The following is a 25,189-nucleotide window of genomic DNA, read 5'->3' on the forward strand; positions in this document are numbered from 1 at the left end:
ATGACCTGCTTTCTTATCAGACTAATTCCACTTTCTCACAAGATCACACTGGTGATGACTTAATGCTTGTGAAAGAAATCAGTAAAGTGTGAAGTGTTGTACAAGTGTAATGTATTAATAGTTGCACTACTATCACCATTATTTGTATAAGTGGGAGGGTCTTCACCCAGAGACATCTGCTACAGTAAGAACAGCAGTTCTCTTTCAGTTGTTTGTCTTAATCACAAAGAGTTATTTGTCTAAATAGGCCAGTTTGAAACTTACGGCATCAGAGCTTTCTGATGGGTGTATCAACATTGATTATTGCTGTCTGGATAACTTTCTTCTTTGATTGTTTCACTTCCACAATGACTCAACTAAAAGTAAAGCTGAGGTGGTGATTTGATTTATTTAGAGACCCCAATTATTCGGAGACTAGCTTAAACTGTTCCTGGAATATCTGTTTATTATGCAACATAAATTGCCAAGTAGGTATGTTTATCTTCATTTTAGAAATATATTTTATTTCATTTAAAACTTGAGATCTTCACTATGAGAAATGTTAAAAATGATCATTCTGTTGTCAAAGAAAGAACATGTAATATTTATAAACTAGAAAAAAATATAATGGTGTTTTGATTTAAAAAAATGAAACACAGATGTTTGAAATTGTATATTTGACAAAATACAACACAATGAAAGAAGAATTGAGATATAATATATAAATTTATTATTATTTTTTTTGAGAAGGAGCTTCACTCTACTAAAAAAAAAAATACGAAAATATTAGCCGGGGATAATATATAAATTTAAAAGACATCCTCACTCTTTCCTAAAGAAAAAACTTTATAGGAATCATTTTTAGATTGTCCTGAACCCATAGATTGTTACCAACTGCAAAAGAGTACTTTTCTCTTGGTCAATAGAAGATCATACTTTTCCATAAAAGGAAAGAGTTTTTCATCATTCTTTTTTCTTATCTCCAAGGAATTCAGTTTGTTTCTGCCTCACATACATAGCCAGAGTTAACTCTCCTAGGCTTTCAAGACAGCCACCACCTTAAAAAGTTTCAGCCTTTTTCTTATGGCTTTTGGCTGAAGACCAACCAGACAGTCAGCTCTGAAGTCATGAGCTGCTGTTGTCACATACGGCAGCTGGGAGCAAAAACTGCCGCTTTTGGCTCCAACACTCTGCCTATGTGGGCTGTGAAGCAGTTAAAGCTAACCTTGTATGTTCTATAAATAATTCCCAGTGGAAGCATTTGGCCTCTCAGCTCCAGAAGGCTCCCTGTTACCCATGTCACAGGTAGCAGGAGCACCTATTTTTTATAAGTGAATACATCTGTGTCTCTTGCATTTTCTGAAGTTTAAGAACATGAAATTCTTTGATATGCTTATTCCATTAAGAAATTTCTAAAGTGCAAAGTTTTAGTAGATGACCTTTCTTTTCTAGGAACACTTCATTGAGGTAATAAAAAACCAAGAATTCCTCCTGCTTCCAGCTAATGAAATTTCAAAACTTCTGTGCAGTGATGACATTAATGTGCCTGATGAAGAGACCATTTTTCATGCTCTAATGCAGTGGGTGGGGCATGATGTGCAGAATAGGCAAGGAGAACTGGGGATGCTGCTTTCTTACATCAGACTGCCATTACTCCCACCACAGGTATGGAAAATTACCTAGGTAATTTAAAATATAGTTCTGAACTACCACTAGGCACTAATCCATTTCTTATTTGCCTAATTTTATTTTTTCAGAAGATTCCTGGTAATTTGAGTGTACAAGATTCGTTTCACAGAAGAACATATTCAGCCATCAATTAGAGGCATTAATAAAAGACAGAAAAAAACACGGCTAAAAAAAGCTACCGTTAAACCATAAACATCAGAATACTCATTAGTTTCAGTTTCACCACATAATATTTGTAAAAAGCTGGGAAAATGACTAGGCTAACTCTTTTTTTTTTTCCTGCACAACTTCTAGGCAAAATGTTAGTAATTAGTACAATAGCCTTCCAGAGGAGAGTCTAGGAAGGAGTCAGGTACTGAATAATATCTTTTAATATTATCCGCTACGATCAAAAGAATGCTATCATACTTTCGATGCACTATAGCATAATTATAAAGGCATCCTCACCATATATGTTGAATTGAAGGATTATAGCAAAGATGATTCTAAGAACAAACACCTTTGAATAAGATCCAGGGTTAACTCAACTCATACTGAATTTTGGAATGCAGTCTCACCACATAATTTCACCATTGGTGATAACCACAGATTTTTCTCTGTAGCAAATTGATCAATAAAATTTATAATACATGTGGATATACTGCACATATGCATGTAATATCTATTGAATTTGTGGCTATAGGCCTCAAACATCATCCAAATTAAAAACAGAGACGTATAGATTTAGTGGATCAATAATTTTGTAAATATTAACATGAATTCACTTTTATAACAAAGTTACTAATTAAATGTTAATATTGAAAAATAGATTGTTAATCTGTTGATGATTTTTCCTTTTTTCTTTTTTTTTTTTTTTTTTTTTTTTGAGAAGGAGTCTTGCTCTGTTGCCAGGCTGGAGTGCAGTGGGGCTATCTCGGCTCACGGCAACCTCTGACTCCCTAGTTCAAGCGATTCTCCTGCCTCAGCCTCCCAAGTAGCTGGGATTACAGGCATGTGCCACCACACCCAGCTAATTTTTGTATTTTTAGTAAAGATGAGGTTTCACCATGTTGGCCAGGATGGTCTCGACCTCCTGACCTTGTGATCCACCTGCCTCGGCCTCCCAAAGTGCTGGGATTACAGGTGTGAGCCACTGTGCCCAGTTGATTTTTCCACATTTTAAAAACTTCCAGCTGTTAATTAAATTCCATAGAACTATATGCATGCTCTTAAGAATCTATCCATATGCAATGAAAGAACGTTGATTACCCTTCTGGTTATAGCAAATTTATCCAAAGAGCAAGGAAGGCAATAGTAACGCCAAAAACAGAAATAATAAATATATACGTAATTTTAGATCCAGGGTTCTAAATCTTTGGATTGACAGATGATCTTTAGAATCTATGGAAATTTTATGTTTGGGTGAAGGTATACACTTATATGTATTATTTTCAAGAAAAGTTCTATGACATATGAGATTCTCAGGCTGCCTTTGAAAATGTTCCTTGACCTGTGAACTTGTTAGAAACACAATTTCTCATGCCCCACTGCAGACCCAGTTAACCAATTTCATGGAAACAGGCTGAAGAATCTGTGTATTAACAATTTCTCCTTGTGATTTTAGGCATAAAAAACTTAAGATGCACTGGTGTAAGATCAGAGGCTGGTATCTTTACAGAGCCTTAAGTCTATATGACACTTTCAGCAAAATGAACTTAGTTTGAACTTCTGTTATTTTATTGGAATGGAGGGAAATTTCTAGCCCAAATGTACAACCAACAGTACCGTGGTAGCCCACCTCTGAGTATGCCTTAGACCTAGAATATGGACTGTGTCAACTTTTCCTGATCGTAGTAGTGATAGGCAATGTCATGCAAATATAGGCTTTCCAAAAGAATTTAAAAGGTGACCTTACAAATATCTTAGAAATGAAATATATAAAAAGGATGGTGATGAATCTCTGAAGAGTATTTTTAGGGAAAAATACATAGCCTAGTTTTTAGACCTATTTCTGAAAGCATATGCATTAAGCAAATGCCTGGGCTCTCATGAGGCAAGTCAAAATAAAGATCCATCAGATATCACAGGTGGAGTGAGAACAGAACTGAAATTAACACATGAAGAGCAGGAAAATTCAGATAAGTTTAATGTAATAAGATTGCCTCTTCTATTCCAGCAACCTGCTCACTATTCCTCTCAATGTCCCATGATACTGTGGACCCAAAACTCCAAGGGAACCAATCTAAGATGACTCTTGACAACATTCTGAAATATACTCTTGAATTCTCTCCAATTCATCTCATGAAAAATACTTTGCCTCACTTTTATCAGTGTTAAATAAGGTCACTGTCTGCCAGGTAATGATAGTTAAAAAGAATTGATCATCTATTTTTGTTAATATGCTGGCTAGTTACTAAGGCATGTATCTCAACTCAGTTAAAAAGCACCTGCTTTCAGAATACTCTGCAGAAGTGATCAGATGATACAGATACCATCCACCATGTCTGTTATTATTTTAACTGAGCATGTTTGCATGACCACCACTACCAACACAACTACCCCAAATCCGCCAAAAAGATTGCTACTTGTATTAGCCACATGCAGTAGACTAGGAGATTCTTGCTTGTGCAGACAGAGCCATTCTCTTTAACTGCTTTCAGCAATACTTTCTATGAGTGCTTTTTGATGTTTGCTCCTTTAAATTATATGTGTACATATTCAAAGGATGAATAATGTGTCAATTGAATAAATATGCAGAGGTCATTAGCTACTACCAGCAGATTTTTAGTTATTTTCCTTGATAAGTGAAAATAAAAATCATACTAAATAACAAAAAGCATGAAATATTCAAACTTCTACATTTCGGTTTGCTCAAGTTTTCTCTGCCTCTACCTCCCGGGCTCAAACGATCAACCCACCTTAGCCTACAAGTAGCTGGGATTACAGGCACATGCAACCACAACTGGCTAATTTTTGTATTTTTTTGTAGAGACAAGGTTTTGCCATGTTTCCCATGCTGGTCTCAAACTCCTGAGCTCCAGCGTTCTACACACCTTGGCCTCCCAAAGTGCTGGAATTACAGGTGTACGCCACTGCGCCCAGCCTCTAAAGTTATATAAATACAAATACGTTCTTTCTAATGGTGAACTCTCCATTCATATACCATGCATCACTACTTTTCAGTTACTGGCAGATCTTGAAACCAGTTCCATGTTTACTGGTGATCTTGAGTGTCAGAAGCTCCTGATGGAAGCTATGAAGTATCATCTTTTGCCTGAGAGAAGATCCATGATGCAAAGCCCTCGGACAAAGCCTAGAAAATCAACTGTGGGGGCACTTTATGCTGTAGGAGGCATGGATGCTATGAAAGGTAAAAATAACTTAGAGTGTCTTCATTCAAAAAAGATACATTCTTAACAGCCTCCAAATTATAAGGGTGATATTAAAGCCATGTTAAATGAGTGCACCTAAAGTGAATTTTCATAAATAGGGTGCATTATATGATTTTTGTGACCTCATTTTTCTACTTACCTTATGAGACATAACCTTTCAATTAGTGTTGAACTCTTAATAGGCACTTTTACTTTACAGAAGCTGTTTTAAGATTTGAATATTTACTTTGCCATATTTTATCTTTTCAAGGAAAACTTATTTAATGTTTGTGAACCCGAAAGTATGTGAGACAGGTCTCAATTAATTTAAAAAGTTTATTTTGCCAAGGTTAAGAATGCGCCCATTCTTAACCCCAGGGGGTCAGGGTACATCTTGGTTTTATACATTTTAGGGAGATATCAGACATCAACGTGTAAGGTATACATTGGTTCTGTCCGGAAACGCGAGACAACTCAAACTGGGGGCCTTCTAGGTCATAAGTAGGTAAGAGACAGATGGTTGCATTCTTTTGAGCATCTGATTAGCTTTTCACTGAATACACAATTTACATATGAGGGAGGTACAAGAATAGTCACTTATGCCTTAGTCTGGCTTAGAGAATATGCATTTTTTTCATAAACAATAAAGCAGAGGAAGCAATCAGATGCATATTTGTCTCAGGTGAACAGAGGGATGACATTGAGTTCTGTCATTCCTTTGTCCTGCACCTATGAAAATAAGCTGTCAATTTACACTGCCGTTGTGAAATTCAACGTAACTTTTTAAGGGTAAGCATCTGGAGGCCCACAAGGAATTTCCTTGTGGGCAAATTGTGAGGGATGTATGTAGCTTTAAAAAAAAAAAAAACTCAGTATTTATCTTATTTAGGAATAAAAAGGGAGGAAAGATTTGCCTGACACAGTTCCCAGCTTGACTTTTCCTTTTGGCTTAGTGATTTGGGGGTCCCAAGACTTATTTTCCTTTCACATGTTAATCAGAAAGGAAGAGACTGTAACTGGCAAAAGGTCTGGCTGCTGGCCACTTGTAGAAAGAAGCCATAATAACAAGAGTGAGGTGCGATAAAAAGAGAGCAAGATTTTCATTTCCATGCTAGTAAGAAGAGGAGTGGGTGGAATTCTTTCCAAAAAATGTCTACTCTTCCATTTGTAGAAGGAATGTGGGGGCTTTAAAGAGAGAGTTTGGAATGCAGAATAGGCAGGGTGGCTAGGAAGTGTCAGGTGTTGTGACACCCTTCAATGGCTTGTGTTGAATTATTTATCGTTCCATCTGGTAAAGGGGCTGGTGCCATCATGGCCAGAGGTGTCTGGTCTGTATCAGCATCCGGCCCCTGAAGCTTCTCAGGAAATATTTGACCAGATGAGTGAGTATGGTGTGTGTTTATCAAGCATCTAGGTAACCAGTGTGCATAAGGCATGGGAGCATAGAATGGGATAAGAAAGGGAGTGGAGGAAAGAAAACATTCCAAGGATGTAAAGTTTATCTCAGAGCTACATCTTGAAACTGTGGGTGACGGGAAATGAGGAAAGGAAAGGGGATAGAAAAAAAAAAGTTTAAAAACTTGGTTTGAAGTCCTACTGGAATCACATTATTTTCTTTGATATATATAATTGAAAATTGGAAGACTACATAGTAACAATGCTTATTAATCATAAGCCCATAAAACAAGAGATTGCAAATGCAATTATTTGCAGATTTGTAGGGTTACTTCAAGAACTGATGTGCTTCAGGAAATAACAGATAACAATGTTTTTGTATTTTGTAACAATAATGTTACAAGCTAGGTTTTATAGGGCAATGAGATCCTATAATTAATTTCCAGTCTGGCAACTTGAGGTTTTATTGAATTTTTATTGACTAAATTGAATATTAATAGCATATTAGAAGGTTTTTTGTTTGGCATTTAAATTACAAGAGAACTAATTTAAAAATGCAAGTACAGTTATCTTTCGTTTCTGACTCTGAAAAAAGCCTAATTTGCATTGTGAGAAATGGAAAACTTTGTGTTTGTTTGGTTTTTGTGTTTGTTTTTTATTTTTTATTTTTGGCATTTTTTTCGGGCTAATCTTGGTTAAATTATTGTTACCATAAAGGAATGTATTACAACAAATGTTTATAAGTATCTATAACTCCTTATCAGTCTCTAAAAATGAGTGAAATATGAACCTATAATCTCTGGACTCTATTACCAAAGTTTGTTATGGAAGTAAATGAAGGCATGAGACACTTTGAATTCCTGGTATACGGAGACACTATAAAAGGCTCACGGGACGTTGCAGACCATTAAAAGAATAGTAAAACCTTACATTTTTGATTACTTAATCTTTGGCATTTTGCAAACATCGTTCCTAATCCTCACAATAATGTTACAATAATGTTACCGTTACTTTGCACATCTTAAGTTTAGATAGCCAACCAAAGGACAAACATTAAGAAAGGCTGGAGATGAAATTCTTATTCAAATATGATGTTCCTTTTTCTACACTGCCACTATTACAGACAAAAGAACAGCAACAAAACTCTTTGGGGTTTTAGAATCTATTGGAAAACCAGGGTAAACACGTAGTAGCAAAAAAAAGAAAAAAGAGAAAAAGAAAGAAAAAACCTAAGAAGTATAACAAAAACATTAAATGGGCAGCATTTATCTGTATAAAGCAGTATGACATTGAAAAATGTACTACTTTACATATTTTCACAAAAGTATAAACATTAATTTCTATACATACACCTTTTCTTATTGTGTGTTGCTTCAGTTATTTTTAAAAGATGTTTTTGACTACATATTGAGTACAGTGTACACTGCTTGGGTGATGAATGCACTAAATTCTCAGAAATCACCACCAAAGAACTTACCCATGTAACCTAAAACCACCTGTACCCCCAACACTATTGAAATTTTAAAAATTTGAAAAATTTAACTTTTATATTTTGATGTTTAGGAAATACAGGGCTTCCTCAGACTCTAATTTCCTCTCTGACTCATATAACAAGCTCAGAATTGCTGTTAAATACAGATATCACACAAATGGCTGGGGCTAACTATAACTCCTACAATGTATTTGAAAGAATCATTAGAAAGTGCTAAGTATAATCATAGAGTCAAAATTGTTAACTTGCCAGTTAGTAAACTTTGGATGTCTTGTACGTACATAATATTTTGTAAATTTGTATTTGTTTAAAAACTAAATTCTGAATAAAGCATATGGCAGGAGACAAGGTAAAGGCTAATACTGTCGCTTTTGGAACATTTGTAAAGTAAATGGAGGAAATCATTACATCAGATATATTCACTACTGCAGGAACTACAGTGTTCTCAGCAACACTGATAAGTTTGACAGGTTTTGTTCACTCTTGAATACATTATGAACGAAGATTGGGTAAGAGCTTAGAAATGAATTGAGAATATATCAAACGTTCTGGGGCAGAGAGTTATTCATACAGAAAAATTTTAAAGGAAAAGATGGTAAAAAAATTGAATTTATGTTTTTCCATCTAATATAGAGCTGTCCTAGTAAAGCAGCTAGAGAATATACATTTTGATTAGTTGAAGGATTGGTGGGGGTGGACAAAGGGGCTGGAGAAGTCTTCAGAATTCAATATGTAGAACTACTAGTCATAAATGCTCATGTTGCAGTCAAAAGTTATGGGATCATTTTATCTTTATTGAATCTAATGCCTTGAAAAGTTTAACCTGGCATGAATCACACACCTACATCTCTCAGTGTAAATCTTCTACATACAGCTGACTAATGTAGATTTCTACAATTTTCTAATTACCCCACCATTCGTATCTTCATAATCATAACAATGAGTGCAGACTAGCTTTTATTTCCTAATCTAAATTAGGTCATCCGTAAATTGCACTAACACAAAGAGAACTAAAAGTTAAAATTAGAACAAGCAGATAAGAATACAGAAGTAGGAAGATTGGGATGAGGAAATGGAAAGAATTGGAAAACATTCAGAGAAAACTGACTGGTTAAACATAGAATAAAAGTAGGTGTGAGTTTCTAGTTATTTCAGTTTTAACATTACCATCAAAAGATATTTAGTGTAGAAAACATATTTTGATAGGTGTTATAATTTGACCTCTTAGCAGGAAATATAGTCAGTAGAGCAATTGCTAATGTATAAATCAGTATTCAGTCAAATCCATGTTATCAGTGAAGGAGGCAATAATGAAAGAGAAAGAGTAAATAAGTCCCTGTGTATTTACAAGTTTGTGCTAGAAAATCCAAAATCTTGGAACACAAATACTTGCAGTGCACTATTCACCAGAAAATATTTAAACTTAGAGGAAGGAAACACTGTTTCCACTAATTCAATCTAATCAAGGAGCAGTTATATATTTAATATACACTCTGCTTAAATTTTGACACTGCCAATGGTTATGCTTCAAATGTTAATTAACTACATCTTCATTATAACTAATGAACTGCATTTTCTTCACAAATCTCCCAATAAAGGAGCAACTGGAAAGTATTTTTGCTTATTACTGTGGCTGATTTTGTGTAATTGGGATGAAATTTTTTTTTCTTTTCTAGCAAATGAGGTTTTTTTTTAAATTATTATTATACTTTAAGTTTTAGGGTACATGTGCACAATGTGCAGGTTTGTTACATATGTATACATGTGCCATGTTGGTGTGCTGCACCCATTAACTATGAAATTTTTTAAACCTGCCACAAACTCTATTAGATATACTATATAGATGTAAAAAATAATTCTATTATTTTCCACCCTGGTTATTATTCAGAAGTTTCCCTGTTGTGCAAAATCAGCTTTTACTAAAAAATAGCAACAACTATTATGAATGAATGGTAAGAAGCATTGCCTACTGAAGTGACAATTCATTATGGCAGTAGTGATAGTTTACTTTGTCAATAGTGACAGTATACTATGGCAGTAAACTTTGCACATTAGTAATTGAATAGAAAATACAATTATATTAACACTTAAAGAAAGTAATACCTTGTAATTCTATATTCTCAACTGTAATATTTTGTGCTACTGAAGCAGGTTCATTGTCTGGGGTAACACCTGAGGTTCGTTGTCTCTTGGCCACAGAAATCAAAGACATGGACACACAAAGAGTGAGATTAAGAGCAGAAATTTAACAGGCAAAAGAAAGAGAATAGCTCTCCGCTACAGAGAAGGGTCCTGGAAAAATGGGTTTCCAGATCTGTGCTGAAATGCAGGGGGGTTTATAGATGAGCTGGTGAGGAGGTGGTGCCTGTTCTACATAGGGCGCAAAAGACTGGTTAGGACCAGGTGTGCTATTTGCATAGGGCACGAATCTCTGGCAGCCCCCACACCAATCTTTTATTATGCAGGTGGGTTTTCTGCCTAAACTCGCCATGATACCCATTTCTTTCTTACTGTACACGTGGTAACAATAAAAGGGAAGATGAAGCCTCCATGTTGGAAATGCCTGCCCCCAAGGTAGCCCTTTCCTATCGGTGCAGCTGCCATCATTCCCCTGTGCAAGCTTCCAGCTTGCTTATCTATGTCTGCAGCTTGATTTTTCAGGCTGCTCTTTGTTAGAAAATAAATGATTTGGGGGGCTGCTTTTGATTAGAAAGGTAATTCCACCAAGGATTCTTTTGACCTCACTATCTGCATAAATAATTTCTCTCTACCTCTTGTATCATTACCATCATGGAACATTATGTGAATCAACACCAAAGGCCCATTTAACATTTTTTGAATTTTATTTATTTATATAGACAGAGTCTCACTCTGTCACCCAGGCTGGTGTGATCTTGGCCCACTGCAGCCTCCGCCTCCTGGGCTGAAGTGGTCTTCCGACCTCAGCCTCCCAAGTAGCTGGGACTACAGGTGCATGCCACGACACACAGCTAAAGGCCCGTTTAAAAATAATTTTCATTCCTGGTCCTTTAGTTACGTGTCTTTTAAATAAACACACACACACATACACACAAACACACACACACAAATAAACACACACACCCAAAACAAATTTAAAAAGCATAAATTAGTATGTTGAATGGTCATAAGTAATTAAATCTGTAACAGATGTGCAAACATTCAATAATAGAATCCAAGGTATTTTGTTGTAAATTATGTCATTTGACACTTGTGTTGATACTACCAGTAGAATAGTATAGCCAAAGCCAGTGTTATAAGGGTATAAACCAAACATATTACATAAAACATTTTATTTTGACTCTTCTATTTGGGTCCAGAAGTGGTAAAAGATTATCCTTTGCTTTGTCTCCCAGGTTGTAGAATTACCTGAGCTACTTACTTAATTTGAATTGTAATCACTGATACTGTGCTGTAAGTTATGGGTACATAATTATAATGTGAATAATACCAATTCAAAATTTCAATAGAAGTAGATTTTACCGTTGTTCAATATCCCTTTGTCAGGTACTACTACTATTGAAAAATATGACCTCAGGACCAACAGTTGGCTACATATTGGCACCATGAATGGCCGTAGGCTTCAATTTGGAGTCGCAGTTATTGATAATAAGCTCTATGTCGTGGGAGGAAGAGACGGTTTAAAAACTTTGAATACAGTGGAATGTTTTAATCCAGTTGGCAAAATCTGGACTGTGATGCCTCCCATGTCAACACATCGGCACGGCTTAGGTAAGAGCTTAACGTAATGTATTTTTCAAGAATGTATAGTAAGTAGAGTTTTTAAAAATTAAATCTAGCAGCACATTATTGGGATTTAGCCAAATCCTTAGTGAAAATGTCTCCAAAATGATGAAAAACTTAAGGAAATGATAAAAGCCTGTGAGACATTTGTTATTGTTGCAGGTTACTCCTGATTCCCTTCCACCAGTATTTTAAAGGGGTTTCATTCTAAAAAGGATAACCACATTTCAAAGGGATTTATTATAAAATAATATACAACTACAGCAAGGAGCTTTCTTCTAAGCTCAATTTAGAGAGGAAAGTACTTGACTATTGCGAGGGATTGTGTTTCTAGTTAGATGAATCATGTGCCCACAGTGGAGAACTTTGATTCTCCTGAATATTTGTCAGGATACCTCGTTCTTTATACTAGGCTCCATATTTTTGCAATATCATAAGAGTTGGCTGAACAACAGAAAAATTTCCTTTTTTTTAATCTGATTTTTATAGAGCTAAAAAGCAGCAGATCCAGGAATGGTATTGCTTGCCCCAATTATCCTGATAAATTGACTCTGCCAAATAATACACGATATAATTATTCAGTTCAGTTATGTCAGTGTTATTCCTAGACATAGCTTAGAAAGGTCCTGCAGGGAAATCAGAGCAAGCTTATTTTTCAATATAATTGATATTAGCAAATAGGTAGGAGAGGTGATGATGATATACCACTGAGAGGTTGATTGGGATAGTGAAGGTGGGGAAAAAAACAATTATGTAAATTATCAAAGCAGATGCGAAGCAGAAATGGGCTATTCATAATATTTGAAAAAACAAACTTCTAACTAAACATTAAAAAGCTCTGTCTGTAAGTTAGCTCACAGGAATCTTTTTATCCCTATATTAAACACCAGAGGTTATAAAGACCTACTACAGTCAGCCTGTAATTCTAAGGTTTATCTAAGAATCAACATCACATTGTATCTACATGTTATATCAACAAACAATATTGAAATTTTGCCAGAAAAAGCCAGCTTTTTAAATTACATATCTAGTGTAATTTAAATGGTGCATTCTACTGCCTCTTTTGACTTCAGTGTTACAACAATAGTACCCTTCTATGATATAGTAACTAAAACTGAAAGTTTCACAGGGTTAGAAAACCATACTTAGCTTTACAACAGAGTCAGTAAACTATTCATATGTATGCAAAATCGTTTAATAAGCAAAACAAAAAAATTTAAGCAGTTAATTGCTTGCAAAATGAAACAATATTCAGTGTGTGGCATACCTAGGTGAACCCACATATTATTTTAATTTTTTTAGGTGTAGCCACTCTTGAAGGACCAATGTATGCTGTAGGTGGTCATGATGGATGGAGCTATCTAAATACTGTAGAAAGATGGGACCCTGAGGGACGACAGTGGAATTACGTAGCCAGTATGTCAACTCCTAGAAGCACAGTTGGTGTTGTTGCATTAAACAACAAGTGAGTAAGTTGAAACACACATGTTCATTGCTCCCAGGTCATATAGTATAGAACTTCGGTGACATGATCCATCCAATCAATTAGCATTCCAAATAACCTGGATGTACTTGTTATCAATAATAAAAGGTCTTCATTGGAACTCTCCATTAGGACTGAAAATACTTGTCTAAAATAAATACTTGATTAAATATTCTGTATGCCCTTGCTAATCAAGGTGTGGTCCTGGGACCAGCAGCATCCACCTTTCGTATTTAGAAATGCTGAATCCTAGCCCCGACCCAGCTTTTATAGGCAAGCCAGTTCTAATTTTACCCTCAAGAAGTTACTACTTTTTTACATTATGATTTATTTTTATCAAAACTTTAGTCTGTCTATGGATATAACAAGGTGATTCTTTTATTCTTTCAACAATCCCTCTCCTGAGTGTTCAGGGTTCCTAAATATAGAATCCTACCTAGTCTCACCCTTCCTGAATATTTACCTCTTCCTGTCACTTGCCTATCACTTCCGAGATATTATACTAAAACATGATGATGTTAGAAGTTTCTAAGAGCTTGAATTGTTACCAGGTATTATGTGCTTTCTGACAAGGGAACTTTGGAGACAATGACCAGCATATAAGAGGGTCATGAATCATGCGAGTTTTAGACAATAGGTTGGGTCAGTTGCCAGAGACAGCCTTGTGTGTTTATATTGACTATGCATGAAGCCAATACATTATCATAGATATGGTCTCAGTCAAAATGTCAACGCATTGTTTTTAGAACCTTGCACAGAAATAAATAGGAAATGTCCAGAGTTAAGAGGAGATCCAGTTTTAAAGTGTCTTAGAGCTTAAGCTACTCCTAAATCTATCCGTGGCCTCACCTGAATAATGTCAAGTGATTCAGTTATGTAATCTCCTACCTAATACAGAACAGGATGAAAACATGAAATTTGACCTATTTAATTGTGCTTTGCTGAGTTGCTATTGTTTACAACTCAGCATGAAGGGAAGTTATAGGAATATGGATTAATAAATGTCTGTCTTCTTTATTAATACATGATAACTTTAAAATTATATTAAAAATACTACTTATCAAAAGAATGGCATTTTAAAATGTATGGGAGAAATGTCATAGCCAATATCACTTACGAGGGAAAAAAATCTAGTTTCTAGGTTCTATCCTCTTTCCTTAGTTGTTTATTAAGCTAATGTCTTCTAAGTGATAATTTTTTAATGCAAATATAAAGTCATACATAAAAACAATGGATTCTGCTCCTAGGTAGTTTAACCCTGCTAAAATTGTAAAGTTGTTGGAGTTGGTCTTTGGAACTATCCTGCCAATCCCTTTGATCTTTCCCTCTTTTTTTCTGTGCCTCATATCCCATGGAATCTTTTATTCAATTATGTTAAAATGACTGTGATAAAGATAGTGAAAAAGGGAGATTTGGGTTGGGATAGATTTTAACAGGTGCCCTCAGGTTACGATCTATTCACAAACTTCTGCTATTCACTGCATAATAGTGTAGGAGTAGAATATATAGTCAGACCCTTCAGAAACTTGAAAAGCTTTGTACAAAGTTCTCTCACTCTCATTCTATGCATGCATTTTGTGTGTATATGTATACACACACATATACATACACACAATTCTGTCTTTTTATCTAGATTATATGCTATTGGTGGACGTGATGGAAGTTCCTGCCTCAAATCAATGGAATACTTTGACCCACACACTAACAAGTGGAGTTTGTGTGCTCCAATGTCCAAAAGACGTGGAGGTGTGGGAGTTGCCACATACAATGGATTCTTATATGTTGTAGGGGGGCATGATGCCCCTGCTTCCAACCATTGCTCCAGGCTTTCTGACTGTGTGGAACGGTAAGTTTTTTCTATTTCCTTCTGTATGTAATTATTTGGTTATTTAATTTTTTAGAAATAGAAAGATTTTTTTTCTTTTAAATGGAAATCAGTTTAGTTCTATGCCCACTGTAAGAAAATTAAATAGTACAACGGGAATCTAGGGAGAACAAGTCCTTTCCCAGCTGAGATCCTCTAAGACTCTAGTCCCCTCCTGTTCTAGGCTCTTTCAAATATGGGATCTTAGCTAATTTTAATTTTAATTTTTTATTTTTATTTTTAATGGACAGTGTTTAATTACATTTTTAAACAACCAGAAAGTAGTCTTCCAATAAATGCTAATCCTTGTAGTGGATTTATCTTCTGTACAATTGTACACTTTCTCTTAGACTAAAAATATATTTTTTAAATATTCCGTATACATTTCAGATTCAGCATAGAATATGTAAAAAGAATATGTCATCTTATTGTTAAATAGTCACACTATAAAATAATAAGACAAAGTGGTAAACAAATAAATTTTATGCCAAGCTACATCACTCAACCAATTCAGGAGACTCAAATCAAAATAAGTTTACTGAGATTGGGGAAAAAATGGCAGATAGGAGCCAGGAATAACTTGCAGCTCCCACTCATATAGACAGAGCAGTGTGTGGAGAACCATATCGTGAACTTTTGCTCTAAGAACTACCGCAGGAACATAACAGGAAAGTCAAGAGAATCCACAGACCCTCTGAGGGAGGTGGATTGCTGCGCAGGGATAGCCGTAGCAATGTGAGCCTGCTTGCTTTCTCAGCTGGGAGTCTTATGGCCTGGGGTAGGTTCTCAGCCCTGCTCACTGGCTGCCTTGAAATAAGCTAGGTTCTGTTGAGCGAGGGTGCAGTGGGAGTGAGACCAGCCTTTCTGGCTGCAGGCTGCATGGGAGCTGGGTGAGGCCTGTGGCTGCCAGCTTTCCCCCACTTTCCCGGTGGCCTATGTGACAAAGCAGAGCTAGCCATAATCCCCCTGGGAACATAACTCCATTGGCCTGAAAACCACACCCCATCCCCCACAGCAGCTGCAGCAAGCCCCACCCAAGGAGAGTCTGAGCTCAGACATGCCTAACCCTGCCCCCACCTGATGGTCTTTCTCTTTATGCGCTGGTAGCCAAACACAAAGCTCATAATTTCTTGATAGCTCTATGGCCCTGCCCACTGCCTAAGCCTAAGGCAAAGTTGTATCCTTCCTATACAAACGGAACTGATGGGCTCTTGAATGTGCCACCTCCTAGCTGGAGGCCAACCAACACAAAACCAGCATACTAAACAAAAATACAACCAAGGACCCTCAGAGCATACTTCACTCCCCAGCCACCTCCACGAGAGTAGGTGCTAGTATCCATGGCTGAGAGACCTGAAGATGGATCACATCACAGGACTCATGGCAGACACTCCCCACCCCAGTAGCTCTGCTGGGTGGCTAGATCCAGAACAGAAATAGCAATCACTGCAGTTTGGTGCTCAGGAAGCCCCATCCCTAGGGGAAAGGGGAGAGCACCACATCAAGGGATCACCCCCATAGGACAAAAGAATCTGAACAGCAGCCCTTGAGTTCCAGATCTTCCCTCTGACATAGTCTACCCAAATGAGAAGGAACCAGAAAAACAATTCTGGTAGTATGACAAAATGAGGTTTTTTGACATCCCCAAAAGATCGCAGTAGCTCACCAGCAATGGATCCAAACCAAGATGATGTATCTGAATTGCCAGAAAAAGAATTCAGAAGGTCAACTATTAAGCCAATCAAGGAGGTACGGGAGAATGGTGAAGTCCAACTTAAACACATCAAATAAATAAATAAATAAATAAAATCATGTAGAATATGAATGGAAAATTCTCCAGTGAAATAGATAGCATAAATAAAAAGCAGTCACAGGCTAGGCATGGTGGCTCATAACTATAATCCCAGCACTTTGGAAGGTCAAAGTTGGAGGATCATCTGAGATCAGGAGTTTGAGACCAGCCTGGCCAACATGGCAAAACCCTTTCTGTACTAAAAATACAAAAATCAACCTGGCACAGTGGCAGTTGCCTTCAATGTCAGCCACTCAGGAGTCTGAAGCAAGAGAATCACTTGAACCTGGGAGGCAGAGGTTGAAGTGAGCTGAGATCATGCCACTGCACTCCAGCCTGGGCAACAGAGCGAGACTCCATTGAAAAAATAAATAAATAAATACACACATACATAAAATAGAAAACATAAAAAACAATTACAACTTCTGGAAGTGAAGGACACATTTACAGAATTGCAAAATGCACTGGAAAGTCTCAGCAATAGAATCAAACAAGTAGAAGAAAGAATGTCAGAGCTTGAAGACAAGTGTATCAAATTAACCCAATCCGACAAAGATAAAGAAAAAAATTATTTTAAAAAAATGAACAAAGCCTTCAAGAAGATTGGGATTATGTTAAATGACAAAACAGATGATTAGTTTGTGTTCCCAAAGAAGAGAAATCTAAAAGTTTGGAAAACATATTTGAGGGGATAATCAAGGAAAACTTCCCTGGCCTTGCTAGAGATCTAGACAGCCATACACAAGAAGCTCAAAGAACATCTGGGAAATTTATCACAAAAAAATCATCGCCTAGGCACATATTCATTTGGTTATCTAAAGTCAAAACAAAGGAAATAATCTTAAGAACTGTGAGGGAAAAGCACCAGGTAACCTAAAAAGGAAAACCTGTGAGAGTAAGAGCAGATATTTTAGTAGAAACTCTACAAGCTAGAGGGGATTGAGGCCTTATCTTTAGCCTCCTTAAACAAAACAATTAGTCAAGAATTTTGTATCCAGTGAAACTAAGCTTCATAAATGAAGGAAAGATAGAGTCTTTTTTAGACAAACAAATGCTGAGAGAATTTGCCACTATGAAGCCAGCCCTACAAGAACTGCTAAAAGGAGCTCTAAATCATGAAAGAAATCCTCACAATACAGAAAAATAGAGTCTCCTTAAAGTATACATCTCACAGGACATATAAAACAATAACAGTGAAAAAAATACCAAGGTATTCAGGCAATTAATAGCACAATGTATAGAATAGTACCTCACATCTCAATAGTAACGGTGAATGTAAAATGGCCTAAATGCTCCACTTAAAAGATGTAGAATGGCAAAATTGATAAGAACTCACTAATTAATATCTGCTGTCTTCAAGAGACTCACCTGACAAATAAGGACTCAAATAAACTTAAGGTAAAGGAGTGGAAAAAAGATAGTCCGTGAAAATGGACACAAAAAAATGAGCAGGAATAGCTATTCTTATATCAGACAAAACAAACTTTAAAGCAACAACAGTTAAAAAAGACAAAGAGGGACCTTATGTAATGATAAAAGAACTAGTCCAACAGGAAAATATCACAATCCTAAATATATATGCACCTAACACTGGAGCTCCCAAATTCATAAAACAATTACTACCAGACCTAAGACATAAGATAGACAGCAACACAATAATAGTGGGGGACTTCAGTACTCCATTCACAGCACTAGACAGGTCATCAAGATAGAAAGTCAACACGAACCAATGAACTTAAACTATACCCCAGAACTAATGGACTTAGATATTTACAGAACATTCTACCTAACAACTGCAGAATATGCACTGTATTCATCAGCACATGGAACATTCTCCAAGATAGACCATATGACAAAACAAGTCTCAGTAAAAGCCACAAAACAAGTCTCAGTAAATTTAAGAAAATTGAAATTTTATCAAGTACTCTGTCAGACCACAGTCTAATAAAATTGGAAATCAACTCTAGAAGAAACCCTCAAAACCATGCAAGTACATGGAATTTAAATAACATGCTTCTGAATGATCATTGGGTCACAGTGAAATCAAGATTGAAATAAAAAATTATTTGAACTGAACAATAATAATAATATAACCTCTCCAAACCTCTAGGAAACAGAAAAGTGGTTCTAAGAGGAAAGTTCATAGCATTGAATGCCTACATCAAAAAGTCTGAAAGAGCACAAATAGACAATCTAGGGTTACACGTCAAGGAACTAGAGAAAAAACAACAAACAAACCCAGCAGAAGAAAAGAAAGACCAGAACTAAATGAAATTGAAACAACAACAACAAAAAAATACAAAAGAGAAAACACACAGCTGGTTCTTTGAAAAAAATAAACCAAATGAATAGACCATTAGCAAAATTAACCAAGAAAAAAAGGAGAAGATTCAAATAAGCCCAATTAGAAATGAAATGGGAGATATTACAACCAATATCTCAGAAACACAAAAGATCATTCAAGGCTACTAGGAACACCTTTACATACACAAACTAGAAAACCTAGAGGTGATGGATAAATTCCTAGAAATATACAACCATCCTAGATTAAACTAGGAAGAAATAGAAACTCTGAACAGACCAATAATAAGAAGCAAGATTGAAACAGTAACTAAAAAGTTACCAACAAAAAAAGTCTAGGTCCAGATGAAATCACAGGTGAATTTTATGTGACATTCAAAGAAGAATTGGTACCAATGATACTAAAACTATTCCAAAAGATAGAGAAAAAGGGAATCCTCCGTAAATCATTCTGTGAAGCCAGTATCATCCTGATACCAAAACCAGGAAAGGACATAACAAAAAAGAAAACTACAGCCCAATATCCATGATGAACATAGATGCAAAAATTCTCAACACAATACTAGTTAACAGAATCCAACAACATGTCAAAAAGATAATACACCATGATCAAGTTAGTTTTATACCAGGGACGCAGGGATTGTTTAACATCCACAAGTCAATAAATGTGATATGCCTCATAAAAATATTTTTTTAAAAAATCACATAATCATCTCAATAAATGCAGTAAAACCCTTTGACAAAGTCCAGCATCCCTTTATCATTAAAACCCTCAGCAAAATCAGCATAGAAGGGGCTTACCTTAAGGTAATGAAAGCCATCTATGACAAACCCACAGCCAACATAATACTGAACAGGGAAAAGTTGAAAACATTCTCCCTGAGAACTGGAAGAAGACAATGATGCCCACTTTCACAACTTCTATTCAACATAGTATTGGAAGTCCTAGCCAGAGCAGTCGGACAAGATAAAGAAATAAAGGGCATCCAAATTGGTAATAAGGAAGTCAAACTGTCACTGTTTGCTGATGACATGATTGTATACCTAGAAAACCCTAAAGACTCATCCAGAAAGCTCCTAGAACTGGTAAATGAATTCAGCAAAGTTTCAGGTTACAAAATTAATGTACACAAATCAGAATTGGAATCATCATGGTGGACGTGAGGCAGGAGAAGATTGCAGCTACAGACAGAGCAGCATGCAGAGGCTCGCATTGTGAATTTTAGCTCCAGATGGACTGCAAGAACAAACCAGCAATCCTGAGAGGACCCACAGACCATCTGAAGAAAACTAACTGCTCCTGCAGGACCCAGGAGACACCCCAAGTTCTGTGAGTGGCCCAACTGCAGAAGTGTGAAAGGGAGAGCCTCCTCTCCCAAACACACCCACTGGAGAAGCTGAAGGTCTGTTTGCAGGAGAAGTTTCCAACTTTACCTGGAGCTGAGGCAATTTAGAGGGCCGAGTGAAATACAGGGGTAGAGGAAGCAGCAGAAAGTCCCTGTGAGCTTGCTGGGTCCCCTAGCAGGCCATTCCTGCCTGGTACCACAGGGATACATTTGGAGGCTGGCCAGAGAAGCAGGGAGTAAAACTCCACAGGGAGGAGGAAATCTTTAGCTGAACTTTGTAACAATTTGAACATTGTGAGAAGCCTCCTGGCCAGAAATCGGGGGAGGGCACAAATCTGGTGTGCAGACTCCACAGGTGGGGGAAGAACCAAGCCCTTTTCTTTTGCAGCTTGGAAGCAGGTATCCTGGGGCAAGTTTTCAAGCCCGTCTCGTCCTCTACCTGGAAACAGACTTGGGGCTGTTGGGGAGAAGCATAGTGGGAGTGAGATCAGCTCTTTGGTTTGCACGGGAGCTGGGTGAGACCTGTGACTGCTGGCTTTCCCCCACTTCCCTGACAACCTGCATGACTCAGCAGAGGCAGCCATAATCCTCCTAGGTACACAGCTCCGGTGACCCGGGAATCTCACCCCAATCTCCCACAGCAGCTGCAGCAAGACCCACCCAAGGAATGTCTGAGCTCAGACATGCCTAGCCCCACCCCCACCTGATGGCCCTTTCCTATTTACCCTGGTAGCAGAAGACAAAGGGCATATAATCTTGGGAGTTTTAGGGCCCCACCCACGGCCAGTCCCTCTCCATACTACCATAGCTGATGCTTTCTGGAAAGTGCCACCTCCTGGCAGGAGGCCACCCAGAACAAAAATGAAGCATTAAACCACCAAAGCTAAGAATCCTCACAGACTCCATTGCACCCCCTGCCACCTCCACTGGAAGAGGCACTGGTATCCATGTTGAGAGACGCATAGATGGTTCACATCCCAGGACTCTGTGCAGACACCCCCCAGTACCAGCCTGGATTCAGATAGACTTGCTGGGTGGCTAGACCCAGAATAGAGACAACAATCACTGCAGTTAAGCTCACAGGAAGCCACATCCATAAGAAAAGGGGGATAGCACTACAGCAAGGGAACATCCTGTGGGACAAAAGAAATCTGAAAAAACAGTCTTCAGCCCCAGACCTTCCCTCTGACAGAGCCTACCCAAATGAGAAGGAACCAGAAAACCAACCCTGCCTAGTAATATGACAAAACAAGGCTCTTCAACACCCCCCTAAAGAATCACACTAGTTCACCAGCAGTGGATCCAAACCAAGAAGAAATTCATGATTTATCTGAAAAAGAATTCAGGAGGTTAGTTATTAAGCTAATCAGGGAGGGACCAGAAAAAGGCGAAGCCCAATGCAAGGAAATCCAAAAAATGATACAAGAAGTGAAGGGAGAAATGTTCAAGGAAATAGACAGCTTAAAGAAAAAAACAATCAAAAATCCAGGAAACTTTGGACACACTTTCAGAAATGTGAAATGCCCTGGAAAGTCTCAGAATGTAATTGAGCAAGTAAAAGAAAGAAATGTAGAGCTCAAAGACAAGGTTTTTTAATTAATCCAATCTTACAAAGACAAAGAAAAAAGAATAAGAAAATATGAACAAAGCCTCCAAGAAGTCTGGCGTTATGTTAAACAACCAAACCTAACAATAATAGGTGTTCCTGAGGAAGAGAATTCTAAAAGCTTAGAAAACATATTTGGGTGAATAATTGAGGAAAGCTTCCCTGGTCTTGCTAGAGACCTAGACATCCAAATACAAGAAGCACAAAAACACCTGGAAATTTTATCACAAAAAGATCAGAGCAGAACTAAATGAAATTGAAACCAAAAAAATACAAAAGATAAATGAAACAAAAAGCTGGTGCTAAGATAAATAAAACTGATAGACCATTAGCAAGATTAACCAAGAAAAGAAGAGAGAAAATCCAAATAACCTCACTAAGAATTGCAAGAGATATTACAACTGACATACCAAAGATCCTCCGAGGGTACTATGAACACCTTCCCTCACATAAACTAAAAAACCTAGAAGAGATGGCTAAATCTCTGGAAAAATACAACTCCCCTAGCTTAAATCAGAAAGAATTAGATACCTTGAACAGACCAATAACAAGCAGCAAGATTGAAATGGTAACTAGAAAAATTACCAACAAAAAAAAAGTCCAGGACCAGACAGATTCACAGTGGAATTCTACTAGACATTCAAAGGAAAATTGATACCAATTCTTTTGACACTATTCCACAAGACAGAAAAAGAAGGAACCCTCCCTAATTCATTCTATGAAGCCAGCATTAATACCAAAACCAGGAAAAGACATAACCAAAAAAGAAAACTAAAGCACAATATCCATGATGAACATAGATGCAAAAATTCTCAACACAGTACTAGTTAACAGAATCCAACAGCATGTCAAAAAGATAATACACCATGATCAAGTTAGTTTTATACCAGGGATGCAGTGATTGTTTAACATCCACAAATCAATAAATGTGGTACAACTCATAAAAATAATTTTTAAAAAATCACATAATCACATCAAAAGATGCAGAAAAAGCATTTGACGAAATCCAGCAACCTTTATGATTAAAATTCTCAGCAGAATCAGCATACAAGGGACATACCTTAATGTAATAAAAACCATCTATGACAAACCCACAGCCAACACAATACTGAATGTGGAAAAGTTGAAAACATTCCCTCTGAGAACTGGAACAAGACAAGGCTGCCCACTGTCTGCACTCCTCTTCAACATGGTACTGGAAGTCATAGCCAGAGCAATCAGACAAGAGAAAGGAATAAAGGGCATCCAAATCAGTAAAAAGGAAGTCAAACTCTCACTGTTTGCTGATGATATGATCGTTCACATTGAAAACCCTAAAGACTCCTCAAGAAAGCTCCTAGAACTGATAAAAGAATTCAGCAAAGTTTCTGGATATAAGATTAATGTACACAAACCAGTAGCTCTTCTATACACCAACAGCAACTAAGCAGAGAATCAAATCTAGAACTCAACCCCTATTACAATAGCTGCAAAAAAATAAAATAAAATACTTAGGAATATACATAATCAAGGGGTCAAAAGACCTCTACAAGGAAAACTACAAAATACTGCTGAAAGAAACCATAGATGACACCAAGAAATGGAAACACATCCCATGCTCATGGATGGGTAGAATCAATATTGTGAAAATGTCCACACTGCCAAAAGCAGTCTACAAATTCAACGCAGTCCCCACCAAAATAGCACCATTATTCTTCACAGAATTAGAAAAAACAATTCTAAAATTCATATGGAACCAAAAAAGAGCCCTCATAGCCAAAGCAAGACTAAGGACAAGAACAAATATGGAGGCATCTCACAGCCTGATTTCAAACCAGTCTATAAAGCCATAGTCACCAAAACATCATGGTACTGGTGTAAAAATAGGCACATAGACCAGTGGAACAGAATAGAGAACCCAGAAATAAACTCAAATGCAGCCAACTGATCTTTGACAAAGCAAACAAAAACATAAAGTGGGAAAAGAACACTGTTTTCAGCAAATCATGCTGGGATTATAGGCTAGCCACATATAGGAGAATTAAACTGGATTCTCATCTCCCACCTTATACAAAATCAACTTGGGATGGATTAAGGTCTTAAACTTAAGACCTGAAACTATAAAAATTCTAAAAGATAACATTGGAAAAACCCTTCTAGACATTGGTTTAGGCAAGGATGTCATGACCAAGAGCCCAAAAGCACATGCAATAAAAACAAAGCTAAATAGGTGGGACCTAATTAAACTAAAGAGCTTCTTCACGACAAAAGGAACAGTCAGCAGAGTAAACAGACAACCCACAGTGTGGGAGAAAATCTTCACGATCCGTACATCTGACAAAGGACTAATATCCAGAATCTACAATGAACTCAAACAAATCAGTAAGAAATAAACAAACAATCCCATCAAAAAGTGGGCTAAGGAAATGAATAAACAATTCTCAAAAGAAGATATACAAATGGCCAATAAACATGTGAAAAATGCTCAACATTACTAATGATCAGGGAAATGCAAATCAAAACCACAATGCAATACCACCTTAGTCCTGCAAGAATGGTCATAATCAAAAAATCAAAAAACGGTAGATGCCAGTGTGATCGCGGTGAACAGGGAACACTTCTACACTGCTGGTGGGAATGTAAACTAATATAGCCACTATGAAAAAGAGTTTGAAGATTCCTTAAAGAACTAAAAGTAGAACTACCATTTGACCCAGCAATCCTACTACTGGGCATCTACCCAGAGGAAATGAAGTTATTATTCATAAAAGATACTTGCACATGTATGTTTATAGCAGCACAATTCACACTTGCAAAACTGTGGAACCAACCCAGATACCCATCAATCAACAAGTGGATAAAGAAACTATGGTATATATACACAATGGAATACTATGCAGCCATAAAAAGGAATCAATTAACAGCATTTGCAGCAACCTGGATGAGATTGGAGACTATTATTCTAAGTAAAGTAACTCAGGAATGGAAAACCAAACATTGTATGTTCTCGCTGATATGTGGGAGCTAAACTATGAGGACACAAAGGCACAAGAATGATACAATGGACTTTGGGGACTGGGCAAGGGAAGAGTAGGAGGTAGCCAGGGATAAAAGACTACAAATATGGTGCAGTGTATACTACTTGGGTGAT

General features: G+C 37.0%; 1 protein-coding gene across 3 annotated transcripts in view; it reads left to right on the top strand.

Moving 5' to 3' along the window:
* Nucleotides 1-25,189, top strand: part of KLHL4 (kelch like family member 4) — a 152,249-nt gene that overhangs the window by 102,978 nt on the left and 24,082 nt on the right. For all 3 annotated transcript variants that reach the window (XR_938403.3, NM_019117.5, NM_057162.3), the window contains exons 5-9: nt 1,432-1,644; nt 4,831-5,017; nt 11,431-11,655; nt 12,970-13,132; nt 14,784-14,996. Coding sequence is in view for 2 of the 3 variants with exons in the window: in NM_019117.5 (NP_061990.2) it covers nt 1,432-1,644; nt 4,831-5,017; nt 11,431-11,655; nt 12,970-13,132; nt 14,784-14,996 (1,001 nt within the window). In the remaining variant the exon portion in view is untranslated. The remainder of the gene's footprint in view (nt 1-1,431; nt 1,645-4,830; nt 5,018-11,430; nt 11,656-12,969; nt 13,133-14,783; nt 14,997-25,189) is intronic.

This window comes from Homo sapiens, chromosome X, assembly GCF_000001405.40.
Source record: "Homo sapiens chromosome X, GRCh38.p14 Primary Assembly".
Classification (NCBI taxonomy): Eukaryota; Metazoa; Chordata; class Mammalia; order Primates; family Hominidae; genus Homo; species Homo sapiens.